The 13,340-nt window shown below is 39.3% G+C and overlaps 1 protein-coding gene across 13 annotated transcripts in view; it reads left to right on the top strand.

Annotated features, from left to right (window-relative positions):
• MTUS2 (microtubule associated scaffold protein 2) overlaps window positions 1-13,340 on the top strand; it is a 685,985-nt gene that overhangs the window by 280,345 nt on the left and 392,300 nt on the right. For 9 of the 13 annotated variants that reach the window (XM_047430227.1, NM_001384605.1, XM_011535019.4 and 6 more), the window contains one exon: window positions 466-663. The exons of 1 other annotated variant lie outside the window; for it this stretch is intronic. In XM_047430227.1, the coding sequence (XP_047286183.1) occupies window positions 466-663 (198 nt within the window). The remainder of the gene's footprint in view (window positions 1-465; window positions 664-13,340) is intronic. 3 more of the 13 variants (NM_001366650.1, XM_047430229.1, XM_011535022.2) reach the window with 1 other exon arrangement.

Consider the following 13,340-nt stretch of genomic DNA (forward strand, 5'->3'; position numbering starts at 1 on the left):
TTCATAAGACTTATTACAAACTGCTTAAAATTACTAGTGAATGTTCACCCCAATGGTTCTTTGCCCATTGTATGTCAAAATTTAAGGTGTATCTCAATTTCACGAATCTGGGGTAACATGCAACAATAACTATTCGCTTTCACTCATTGTCTTAAGCACTTGATACCTTTTCTTATAGCCTTAAAATAGAGTTATTTGTCTTCCTCAATTCATCTGCCTAAGTAGACGGTAAATTTGTCCAGGCTGGGGCTGCACCACCTCCTCTCTGAGTTCTCTGAGGCACCTGACCCACAATATAAGGGGCCTTTCTCTTCCAAGGTCCATTTTAGATGTGTTGAATCAAACCTTGCAAGATTAATTTTAGTCTGTTTATGATAGAACTGGGTTCGAATTCATAATCTGTAGAATTCATTATCTCATTATGAACTGAGAATAATTTTTTAATTTTATTTGGGTTCGTTTTAGCAGATTTAAAGAAAGCTTCCAGTTCAAATGCTGCAAAATCCAATCTCCCGAAATCTGGTCTCCGTCCTCCCGGATACTCACGTCTCCCGGCAGCCAAACTGGCGGCATTTGGCTTTGTCCGGAGCTCCAGCGTCTCCTCAGTCTCCAGCACCCAGTCCGGGGACAGTGCACAGCCAGAGCAGGGCCGGCCAGCCACCCGTAAGTGGGGTGGGGCAGGGTGGGGTGCCTTCACTGAATTAAAACCGGCGCGCCTGTGTAACTGTGTGTCATTTTCTTTGCATGATTATTTAAGAATTTGCATCACCTCCCTTAGCTTCCCATTGTTGTGTTATTCATCTACTGAAGAAAAATAGCCCATTTGACACCATCAGTTATGGGGAGTTAGTGTGCCAGGAAAAAAAGATTGTAACCACCTCTTAGGATGTAGAAAATGACTTATCCAGAGACAGATTCCAGCAGCCCTTTGCTTTGCAGATTCTAGGTAAGAAGTCAAAGAAAGATCCAAGAAAGGTGTTACCTACATTGTGCTGTCATGAAACATACTAGATATTTAATATTAGCTGAAAGAATCATTTAGTCGCCTGTGATTACCAGTAATGCCTTCACACTGCCAGAGCACTTGACTGGATTTCTGAAAGTTAAATAAATGATGTTAAAAGTAGCAAAGCACTGCCAAGCTTCTTCAAGTCCATGCCCAGGAAGATCTCCATTAGCTGAGATGGTGCTGTTGCAGGCCCATTTCCTGAGACTGGTATTGTAGACTGCATTTTAAAGTATGAATGAATAACCTGCAGAGCATGTTACAACAGCTGCTGTCCCTGAGGAAGATCTGGAGGTTGCCCATTCAGCTGTGCCTTTGATGACCAAACCCCATCTCAGTCACCACTTCAAAGTCAATGTTATTGGATGGGAAACCATGACATCTCAGATGTTGTTTTCAAGACCTTGCCAGGGGCCCAGGAAAGTCTTAGAGGTTTCCACGTAGAGAGCTGTTTTGAAGGGGTTATAGAAGTTGAATCAAGCTGGAATAATTCGAAAGAGAGAGAGAGAGATCGATTGATTTGTTATTTTGTCAATTTCTTGTCCAAGCTTGTTTATTCTCTGTTCTTTCTTGTGTTTACAGAGATGATGTGTGGAACATTTGCGTAGTTCTAAATTTTGGTCTACCTAGTTATTTATAAAAGTAATACATTACATTTCCCTTTGTCTTGATGTGTTTGTAAGCAGTTTCTAAGGGTGTTTTATTTGCTCTGTTGGTTTCCTGAAGGTGCCGTAGCTGAGGCCTGCTTTCACACAGGATACATTTAAGGAATATCACTGTAATTAGTGATTACATCATTACACAGTAGGGGTCTCAAAATCTGAAACATGAATGTAATAAAGAACTGTTTGCAAATGTGTAATTCATGTTTTGAGATATGCATGTGCATATTAGCAGTCTGATGATTTGAAAATACAGGAGCAACTATTTATCATCATTTTTATTAATAAAATTCCTGATGACGTGTTTCTTTTTTAGAGAAAGTAGTATGAAGGAAAAACTTATCATATGATATATATCTTTCCAACAAAGGAGTTAAGATTTTGATGTCTTAAAAAAAATTAACCTCAAGGCAAGATGAGCCATGTCCACATGACAGCAGCTTTTGCTGACAGAGAGCTGACAGGTCTGGACAGAATAATTGCAGGTGCGCTTAGGACATTTCTTCTCACCTCTGCTTCAGAGGATACTAGAGAGGGACCCCTGAGCACCCAGGGGATAAGAGCTGTATGTGCCAGAGAAAATAACTCCCAGTTTAAAGACTTCATACTAAAAGTCACACTTTTATATGAATGTCTATCCAGAATTGTTTTCTATTTTAAGAAACATATGTTAGAATTGATTTTTAATTATCTGCTACCTACTATATATGTAATTTTTACTTCACCAATAAATCACAGAAAAACCCCCCATGAATTTGATTTGTCTAAGTACTACTAATCATTATACCTATACTTGTTATTAGATGTAATGTCAATAAATATTTTGTTTCTGTTCTTTAGCGAAGAGATGATGCTTTGATGACAGGGAATAAATAAAATATGAAGCTCTTGAGAGAGCTAAAAGTCCTTAGATCAACTTCTCATATGGTATATATCTTTCCAACAAAGCTTTCTTCTCCAAGCTTGTTCATTCTCTGTTCTTTCTTGAGTTTACAGAGATGGTGTGTGGAAAGCTTTGCTGGAGCAAAGCTTTGCTGGTTCAGCTCATGGAAACAGCCAATGTGGTATCAGAATCGGTCCTTTTTTCTTCTTCTTGGAAAGCTGGTCTTTTTGCAGACATTATTTTCACATAGGATTCATTTAAGGAATACTGCTGTAATTAGGGATTATGTCATGCAGAGTAGATGTTTCAAAATCTGAAACATGAGCATGATAAGAATCTATAGTCACACATTGCTTAATGACGGGGATATGTTCTGAGAAGTATGTTGTTAGGCAGTGTCATCGTGGCGCAAACATCATAGAGTGTACTTGCACAAACCTAGATGACATAGCCTACTACACACCTAGGCAATATGGTATAGCCTTGGCTCCTAGGCTGCAAACCTATAGAGCATTTACTGTACTAAATACTGTCGGCAATTATAACACAATAGTGCGTATTGGTATATGTAACAATATCTAAACATAGAAGAAGTATAGTAAAGCTATGGTTTAAAAACTAAAAATGCTGTTCCTGTATAGGGTACGTAAGCACGAATGAAGCTTGCAGGAGTGGAAGGTGCTCTTGGTGAGTCAGAGAATGAGTTGTGAATGAATATGAAGGTCTAGGACATCATTGTACACTTTTATGTGATAAACCAGGGCTATCCTGGAGGCCTGGTTTACACCAGCAACACCACAAACGTGAGTAATGTGTTGTGCTATGACATTACGGTGGCTAAGACGTCACTAGGCAATAGGAACTTTTCAGCTCATTTATAATCTTACAGGACCACTGTCCTATATGTGTTCTGTTGTTGACTGAAGCATCGTTATGTGGTGCATATGGTATTTGCAAAGTATAATTCATATTTTTAGATGTTTGTGCATATTAACAGTCTAAACAATGTCCACACTGACTGTGGCATGCTATATTGGGACACTTTTAAGTGACTCATTATGAATTTATGAGTGTTTCCTAGGCTAGCCTGGCTCTACTGAGACTCTTCCTTGCTGTTTCCCTGGGTCCTGAGGGGCAAGTGATGATGAATGTGGAAACGGGAGCCCCATGCATCCCCCTGGACATGAGATGGCAGGACCATTTGGGGTCTCAGCTGTTCCACATAGAGTCCGCATCCACCCTGGGCTCAGGCTTCAGGCCATTAGCCCAACCCCATTGAGCAGAGGCTTTCTAAGTCAGGTGCTCTTCTATGTCTTTTTACCTTTTCCACAAGGTTGTGGCAAACAAGACAGGCACAGGGAAATGAATTATGTTCATAGGTCCTCAGAACTTGAAGGTATCTTACCATCCAGTTTACCACCCATTTTACAGCTGAGCAAACTGAGATCAGGTTGACTTGCCCTGGGTCCTGGGCTGGTGTTCTTTCTACTCTATTTCCTTCTTAAAGCTGCCATATACAGGGAAGATATATGCATGATTTGAATATATTTTCTTTCTATTAGTAAAGCAAATCTTAGAGTCAGAGCTGACTTGAGAGGCCCCTCAGGCTTCCCAGGTTGTCAGCCAGCCCCTGCGGGAATGCTCTTAAGAGCTAGAGAGGGTTCCGCTTTACGCAGAAGCCACCTCTGAGGCTCTCCTTAGGAAGTGCTCTCTATGAGTTCAGATTGCCTCCTTGTAATCTTCAACAAGTAGCCACAGTTCCTGTGGACTCACACAGCACCTGCATGTGTATCGTGCCTCCAGGATAGCCCTAGGCAGCTCCCTTCATTCCCTTACCAGTTCGTCACATGAAGATTACAAGGTTGGCCCATTTAGAGCCTCAAATTAGTGACCCATAGCTTTTCAAAAAAATATTTACATTGAAAGAGGGAACGTAATTTTCTAACTTAGAAATTAAGCGTAAACTTAACATATCGGTCTGACCCAGGATGTGGCTCCTTAGTTCTTTTATAATGTTCAGAGATGAAAAAAAGATCCCAAATATACTTTAGGTGATAGAAACTTACTGATAAAAATAATGACCGTACTATAGAATTTAGTGTCGGAAACATACTATTACCTAATGTGTATAGGTTGTGCATCCCAAATCAGAAAATCTGAAATTCGAAATGCTCCAAAACCCAAAATTATTTTGAACACTGACACGATGCCCATGGGAAATAGTCACTGGAGCATTTTGGATTTTGGATTTTGGGGTTTGAGTTGCTCAACTGGTATAATAAAAATATTCCAAGATCTGAAAAATTCCAAAGTTCAAAACAATTCTGGTCCCAAGAATTTTGGATAAGGGATACTCAACCTGTACTTCGTTATCACATTAATCAGTAATTAGGTATAGACTTGATTTTCCAAGTGGGTAGGCAGATGCGACTTAAAGTCAAAATCTTTAGGAACATGTGCGGAGGGAAAATAGGATGACTTAGGTTTCATAAATTAATCATTAATGAAAATAGATCATATCGCCCAAGGATAGAATAATTTATGTGGAAGATCCTATGTCATTATGTATTCTGAATAGCACTTCATTTACTGGGTGCCCAAGAAACAGAAAATAGCTATCAAAGAAGTACATGAAGAATATGATATTTGCAGCTTTCCTTTCCAGTTTCTCCTCTTCTTCCTCTCTTTTCAAATACTGCCATGTTTTCTCCATGGGATAACCTAAGAACAGAAATCATGGGGCAAAGAATTTAAAAAACAAGTAAAAAAAAAATTAGAAGTTTTTCTCCTGTTTTTTTCTTTTTTTCCTGGTGCACAGAAGTATTCAGATGATAGGGAAGTAGGGATACAGCTGGGGAGGTGGGCAGAGAGGCTGACGTTCGCATAAATAATCCTGGCAAAGGATGTATGTTTTCGGAGCCTGAAAAGTGTCATGAAGTGGAGGGTTAATTTCTGATGAGGATATCAGGTTGTTTCTCAGAAGGGATTGTAAGCCAGACAGCCTTTTGGAAGGTGGAGATGAACTCTAGGAGATCTTTGGTAGGGGAGCGGTGCTGTTGGTGCATTCAGAAAACTTCCTGAATCTGAGGAGTTGCCATTCCTGGTGCAGCCTGCCACTTCATCGTGGCGCTGTTTGTCTCCTGGGTGCTAAGCCTACATATTTGAGCTCCCCAAGATTTGTTCTCAGAATGTGTCTGTTCAGGTCTCCTAGTCTTCACCTTGTCATCTGATCTACAGTTTCAGCCCTTAACAGTTTGGACACAATGCTCATATCTGTATCTCTAGCTCCGATGTCCCTCTAGAACTACTCACCTGCATTTCAAATGAGCCATCAAGTATCTCTAACCCGATGGCCCAGCTCACTGCAAACTGAACACTTTTTCAGAAAACAAATTCTTCGTTTTTTAGTACAAACCAAAACCTTCTCTGGAAGTTGCTCTATCTTTTAATGATATCTGTGATCACCTGGCAACCCAGGTTGGGAATTTCAAAATCAGCATTATGTCATGCCTGCTGATTTTTTGGAGACGGAGTCTTGCTCTGTTACCTGGAGTGCAGTGGCATGATCTCGTCTCACTGCAGCCTCTGTCTCTTGGGCTTAAGCAATTCTCTGCCTCAGCCTCCTGAGTAGTTGGAAATACAGGCATGTGCTACCACACCTAGCTAGTTTTTGTATTTTTAGTAGATGGGGTTTCACCATCTTGGCCAGGCTGGTCTTGAACTCCTGACCTTGTGATCCACCTGCCTCGGCCTCCCAAAGTGCTGGGATTACAGGCATGAGCCACCGTGCCTGGCCATGTCATGGCTGCTTTTTGCCTTCTTTTCTGTTCACTCATCATTTCTGGTGAATTCTTTCTCTCTGGCACTTACCACATCCTCATTCTTCTCTCTCCTCATCTCTGTTAAAACTGTGGCAGTGCTTTCTAATCCACAAGCACATGGTCCTTGGTAATTTTCCCTTTGACCCCGTTTCAATTGCTGCATGGTGCCCCTATGCCTGCTTCACCTGTCAGACTTCCCAGGTCTTCCATGACCTGGCCCTCCCACCTTCCCTGCATACCATCCTGACATATACTCCCAACTAGCCAAATGTGAGTAACAAAAATGTGTTGCTCACATTTTTCTATGAGGGCTTTGTGCTTTCCTGCCTTTTGGTTTTGATTTAAACCATTCATCTCTGGAATACACCTCCCCCGGCCTTCTATCCCTACCCGCACCACCTGCCATCTCTCTCTGCAGATTCTATCACTTTTAGGTACATTTCAAATTTTACTTCCTCTAAAAATCCCTCAATGTGATTTTTTTGTTCCTGGAAACCCCTAGGGCTCTTGGCTTGTATCACTTTTATTACCTACTAGTTCTTGTAGTTATTTGTTTTTATGTCCTCTCTCCCCTACAGACTATAAGCTCTTAGGGGGTGGGGGCTATGCCTCTTAATAATTTTAGTATCTCTCACACTAAAGGACACTGTCCTTTACAATAGTAGAATTTTAAGGGAAGTTATCTCCCAATAGAAACTTTTTCTCTTATGTAAGGGTATGGAAAAAGATTTTTGAGAGTAACTTAGGTATCTTTGAGAGTATTTTGTATTGGGAACATATTTTTACTTTATGCATGGATTTTCATAGTTGATGAAGCTCATAATTATGGCTCTCACATTCTTCTAGGACCTCTAAAATGTTATTTTTATTGACTGTGGTATACATAGAGATAATTTACATAAGCCAAAGAGTAGAAAACCCTTTGAACTCTAAATATATTCAGAGATAAACATCATAAAGACTGACTTAGTAGTCTCACAAGTATCCAGTAACCTATATATCTCCTTGGATATACTTAATTGTTTTTAAAGAATTGGGCTAAAACCCTACCTTTGAGGCTATTCGTGAGAGAATTTCAAAGTTTCCAAACTTAGATGTCTCGTTTTGAGGAGGTTAGATATTCTCATTAATCACTTCTCAGCCTTTTGGCTAAGATCAAGTATAGATATTCTTATTAAATTCTAGAGTTTTATTTCTTGTTTTAATATATAAAATAAGTAAATGTTCTTTTAATTATTGAATAGGATTTGGGTTCTGGGGATAATTATCTGAAGTGGAAAACTGCTAGCCTTTTGGAAGGTTAATCAATGAAAATGAGGGTTAATATGAAAGCTTTTTGCAATGTTAACTTTAGGGTTTACACTGATGAATACTATAAAATACATTTACATACATAACACATTTGATTTTCTACGTCTGACATGCATTTTAAATAAGATCAGGGTTGACAAGAAATGTTATTAATAACTTACAGAAACAGCCATTAACCCATCTCATGTTCATCGGCAATGAGAGAGTCATTTTTTATTCATGGAAAAAGCAGCCAAAGGTGGCTTGTGAGGTCAGACTTCAGAGAAGCTATTGCCTGTTTGATGTTACTCTTAATGATGTCTTTGTTCATTCTCTTCAGAAGCACTCAGACAATGATGAGTTGCACCCAGAGATAGGATTAGATTGCAAGCATGTTTTGTTTTATTTTTAAGGATGTTGACCATTTCTGGTTATAAGATAAACTGAAGGTTTGGGGAACATTTTTATTTATAGTACAAATAATGTCTAGTTGAACTGCTTCAGTGTTCTTGGCTGGCTTGTTTTATGAAGATTAGATTATCTGCTTACCCTTTCCCGATTCTACATTCTTTCAGCATATTCTATGTGGTAAGCATAAGCTCAGCGCCAGGGCTGCCATGACCTGGACAAGGGTGAGTCCTCACTCACACTTGCAGGGAATGGGGAGACAGGATTATGCACATAAAGCCATGCAGGGAAATGTTAGCATGGCTATGATTGAAGACCACACAGCATTTGGTGGGCAGGGGAGGGAGGAGGCACAGGAAGGGGGAAGTATCCATGCATCCTGAGTGAGGTGAAGAAAGACCTCATGCCCTGCAGGTCCTCTCCAGGCTGGCTCAGCACTACTGCATTATGTCTTCAGATGGAATTCTTCCACATTGGTTTTAGGTAATTGACAACCTTCTGAATTTGCTTATAAAATACTCCACCAAAGGGGAGGAAAAACAACTAGAGGTGGGAGAAGATAGGTGAAAAAAGATTGACAAATATTTGAAAATATTTGAAGCTGGATGATGGAACCATGAAGATTCATTGTACTACTTCACTTGTTGTGTATGTTTGAACATTTCCATAGAAGGTTAAAACCCCACCTTCTCTCTGTATTAGTTTTTATTTATTTTTTGTTTTATTTTATTTTTACATTTAGTGGTCCCTAGAAAGCTCTTAGACAACCGTTCTTCTTCTAACCTTTTTGAAGTATAACAGACAAATAAAGATTGTGTATATTTACATTATGATGTTTTGATATACATATGCATTGTGAAATGATTACTACAATCAAGTTAATTAACATATCCATCACCTCACATAGTTACCTCTTCTGTGTATATGTGTGTGTGTGTATGTGTGGTAAGAACATTTAAGATCTATCTTCTTTGCAAATTTCAAGTATACAATATAGTGTTATTAATAATCAACCCCATGCTGTATATTAGATCTCCAGAACTTACTCCTCCTGAATACCTGAAACTTTGAACCCTTTAACCAATACCTCCCCATACTGATGAGATGACACAGTAGTGGTGAAGAGTACAGACTCTGGAGATACATTGCCTGGGCTCACATCCCACCTCTGCAGTTTGCTAGCTTTGTGACTTTGGGCAAGTTGCTTAATTTTTCTCTGTTTCCTCATTGTAAAATAATAATAATATTAATAATGATTAAAATAAGTTAAACCATCAATAGGGTCGATGGGAGCATCAGATGGAATTAATATCTGCAAAGTACTTAGAAAGGAGATTTGCCCAATAATAATGATGTTTCTGTGGGCATTTCCATCCATTGGCCATGTGTGTAAGGATTCAGAAACTCAGTTAAAAGATGACCATGATGGATTAATGTATCTGTGATGGAGTAAAGAAAGTGCTTCTGCTGACATCTGAGTCAGGCAGACGACATATATTCTAGTTTTGAATTTTTATAACAACCTCACACATATATGGTGAATAACCTTCTGAGTGAGTGTTAAGCTAAAAACATATCGTTTTTGAGACATGAAAGTGGAGGTTGATCATTTGATTTTCATGGCAATCTCTTTCTTTTGAGTTGTAAACTTGTGGTGGTTTGGACATTTACAAAATACAGACAAGGAAAATCATGATTTCTTTATTTAAAAAGGCTATGGCGTGCCTTCAGCACATTATCATTTTAGTTAATATATTCACTTGGCTTCCCTGTAAATGAAACATACTTATGCGAGGTGACTAATACATTAATCTAAGCTGATGGCATTTAAACCCTCTGCTCAAAATAGAAAGTGAGAGTTGGATCTGATTTTATTTCTGTGCCTTTTCAATATCTGTTGGAAGAATGGGAACATTTGATTTCACAGTACTTAAAGGGCTTTGCACAGCTTCTCATTTTGCTAGAGCCTAATTTCCATTGTACTAGGGCTTACTTTGTCAAACATCTCAACCCAATTTGGGTGGGTGAAAAAGAGAAGAGTGAGAACAAAAACTAAAATAAGCTTCTGATTTCCTCTGGAAATGCGGAAGTCAAACAAATGTCACTAATGGATTTAAGTATCTAGTTCCCTGGAATCTGTAATTATGAAATTTAAAGTATTCTTTACAAGAAAAAAAATGGAATCATTTTTAGTGAATCTTGCTGTTAATCTTCCCAATTATTCCCACACATTCAGTTCTTTCTCTTTCCTCTTTTCTTTGCTTCCTTCCCACACATTTACAAAGGAGAACATTTTTTTTTCTGAGTGTTTTTGAGCATTGCCTTTAAGTGAAAATATTTTCTTGATTGCTTCAGTAACTCCTAGTTTATCCACCTTAACTCAGATATCTGGATCTAACTTAGAAATCATATTGTTTCTCTAGAGGTTTATAAAGTTTATAAGTGCCATATTCTAGGATGTTCTAGCCCATTCAATATGTTTAATGAAGAAAAGATACCTGGAGCTATGGAAATCGTATTTTAGAAAAGAAATATGACATATTAGCATGTATAATATGCATAAACCCAGCATTTTCAATAATGGAATGATCTTTGGGAAAGTCAGTTAACCTCGCTGGACTAAGATTTTTATCATAAAGTTCAGAGGGATTGGATTAAATGAATTGACCAATTTGGGCTCTCAAGAGCTGGTATTCTATGACTTTATTCTGTATAAAAAATGGAACCACTTATGGTCTTAAGTAAGGAATAGTAGAATTGTGTTCAAGGAAAATTAATATGATAATGGTGAATAAAGTAGTTTGGAGAAGGGAAACTGGGCATGAGACATCTTGGTTCTTCCAAAATTAATGATGCTTTCCCTCTGGGCCAGACTTTACTTCTGTTATTTTTTCTCTGTCTTAATAAGATAAAAATTTTAGAACAATAACAGAGAACAGTGCAAAGGTTTTACTGCCTTGCTTTTTTCTGTAAAATGCAGAGCTATGAGATGCTTGGGAGTTATTTTCTTGCTCTTACCCTCTCTCTAATGCCGAGCATCTTGGATTATTAGTCCAGTACCAGAACAAAGATGAGGAGATGCAAGGAGGTGGAAAGGAAGAGGAGGAGGAAACATTTTCATACATTTTGTTGCTTTTATCTTAGCAGAAACTCTAGGTCAGAGGTCACATTTTGTCACAACTCTAATTTCACTTGAGACTATGGCAGAGTGAGAATATCAAAAAGCAAGCAAACATAGCTTCTAGATGAATCTTGCTTCTCATGGGAACTTTGCCAACAGTATGTGCTTTCTTGCATTGTTGTAACATGCATAGGCCATCTTCTGGGAAGGTTCGCAAAAACCCTTGTGGTATTTTTCCAAAGGCAGTAGACAGAGCGAAGAGATTGATATATTTTTTTTTTTGCAAGGAGAAATAAAATAATTTATATGGTTATGTCAGAGGGTTTTTTGGGCTCCTGTAACAGGCAGCAATTAGCAGGAGAGAGTTAATGGGAGCCCAAACTAGGGGGTTACAGTGGGAATGATAAAGTAAGAAAGTGCCATTCCACACTGTGTACAGGAAGAGAAGCTTATTTGTGAGGCTTTGATGAGTTTGGGTTTGGTCATGTTGAGAAGCATTCCTATAACTACATCCAGCAGACATCCATCCTATAACTACATCATACATCCATTCCTATAAGTACATCCACAGCAGCATACTTCCCTTCCTATAACTACATCCAGCAGATTTGGGCTGAAAATAAGGAGAACAGCCATGGAAAATAAGTGATGTTTGGAATTGTGACTGACATCATTGAGGGAGTGCATGCAGAATGAAATGGGAAGAGGGAAGCTGACACATTGTGTAGGGAGTATCTGTCTAGGTTGCAGGGGCAGGAGATAGGAGACAGCCGGAGAAGGCTTGGTCAGCGAGGCAGAGGAGTGTCAGACACGACCAGCATCACCAAAGCTGAGGGAGAGAGGTTCCTGGAAAGAGATGGCTGGTCAAGCCATCTGTGCTGTGGGGCTGAGATGTTTTGATATTGAGGAGAATGGGTCTGCAGACTGTCATTAAGATGTCACTGGTAGCTTTGAAGTGAGTTTAACAAAATGTATGAAGGCAGAAATCAGGTTACAAGGGGGTAAGGAAGGTAAAGGTGGAGAGTGTCTACTACTGTTGAGAAGTTTGGTGAGGAAAAGGGAAAGAACCGTAGCAGGAGAAGTTGGTTTGTTATGTGTTTGCTCTTTTTTTTAAGCACATAAGAATGCTTATGCTCTGAGGAGAAAGATCCAGTAACCAGGGAGAGATTGAAGATGAAAGCAAGTGAGAATAGTAGATGGAGCAATTCCTGGGGCAAATAGGAGGGAATGCTATTTAATATACAAGTGGAGGTACAGCCATGAAGACAGAAACAAAGGCATAAGGGATGAGTGCTGAGAAATTTTGGACAGAGAAGAAAAGACTTCAAGGAGGTCATATCAGGTCGCCTCATTTGTCCCAGGTAATTAAGAAGTAGAGTTTTTGCAGAGAGTAACCATGATGGAATTGGACATGGGATTACATAAAGAGGCAGGTAATGGTTCTTTGAGTAATACACTGAGTCAGTAAGAGGTGCATGGGGGAATTGCAGAGTTGCACAGAAGGCCCATGTGAGGTTGGAAAACATGATTTTATACCGGAAACAATCTGATGGATTTTAGGGCCGTCTCCAGTGATGTGGTGGTAGATCCCACGTCTCTCCAATTTTTTTCCCCATGCATGATAATTTATAGCAATTAAAACTCCAAAGTGAATATATAATGTTTCTCAGGAGCTTGGAGTCAAGTGATACATACAACTCTATGGAAGCAGAGGTGCTGGTTGAAGAGGGATGTATGCAGCCCTGAGCCTGCTCTGTCTGCCTTTCCCTTTCCTGTCCTTTCTACCTGCACCAGCCACTAAGGGACTCCATGGAGCACAGTTGAAAATTGCTGGCTTTAGGGCAGGTATGCCCACTTGCCTCAAGAATTAGAGACAGAATTCGCTACTATAGTCAAATTGCCAAGAAAGGCATTTTCTTATTGCTGGTTTGTAATAGGGCCCTCCTGTCTCTTTAGATCAGCTGTGCCCAATCGAAATTTCTGCAGTGTTCATCTTTGCTCTTGATACGGTAGCCACTAGTCACATGGAGCTAATGAGCCATTGAAATGGGGCTGGCATAACTGAGGAGCTGAGTTCTAAATCTTATTTAATGTTAATGACTTTGTGTTGCCATGTGTGGCTAGTAGTTCCCTTATTGGATAGTACAGT

Source organism: Homo sapiens, chromosome 13 (genome assembly GCF_000001405.40).
Source record: "Homo sapiens chromosome 13, GRCh38.p14 Primary Assembly".
In the NCBI taxonomy this organism is placed as follows: domain Eukaryota; kingdom Metazoa; phylum Chordata; class Mammalia; order Primates; family Hominidae; genus Homo; species Homo sapiens.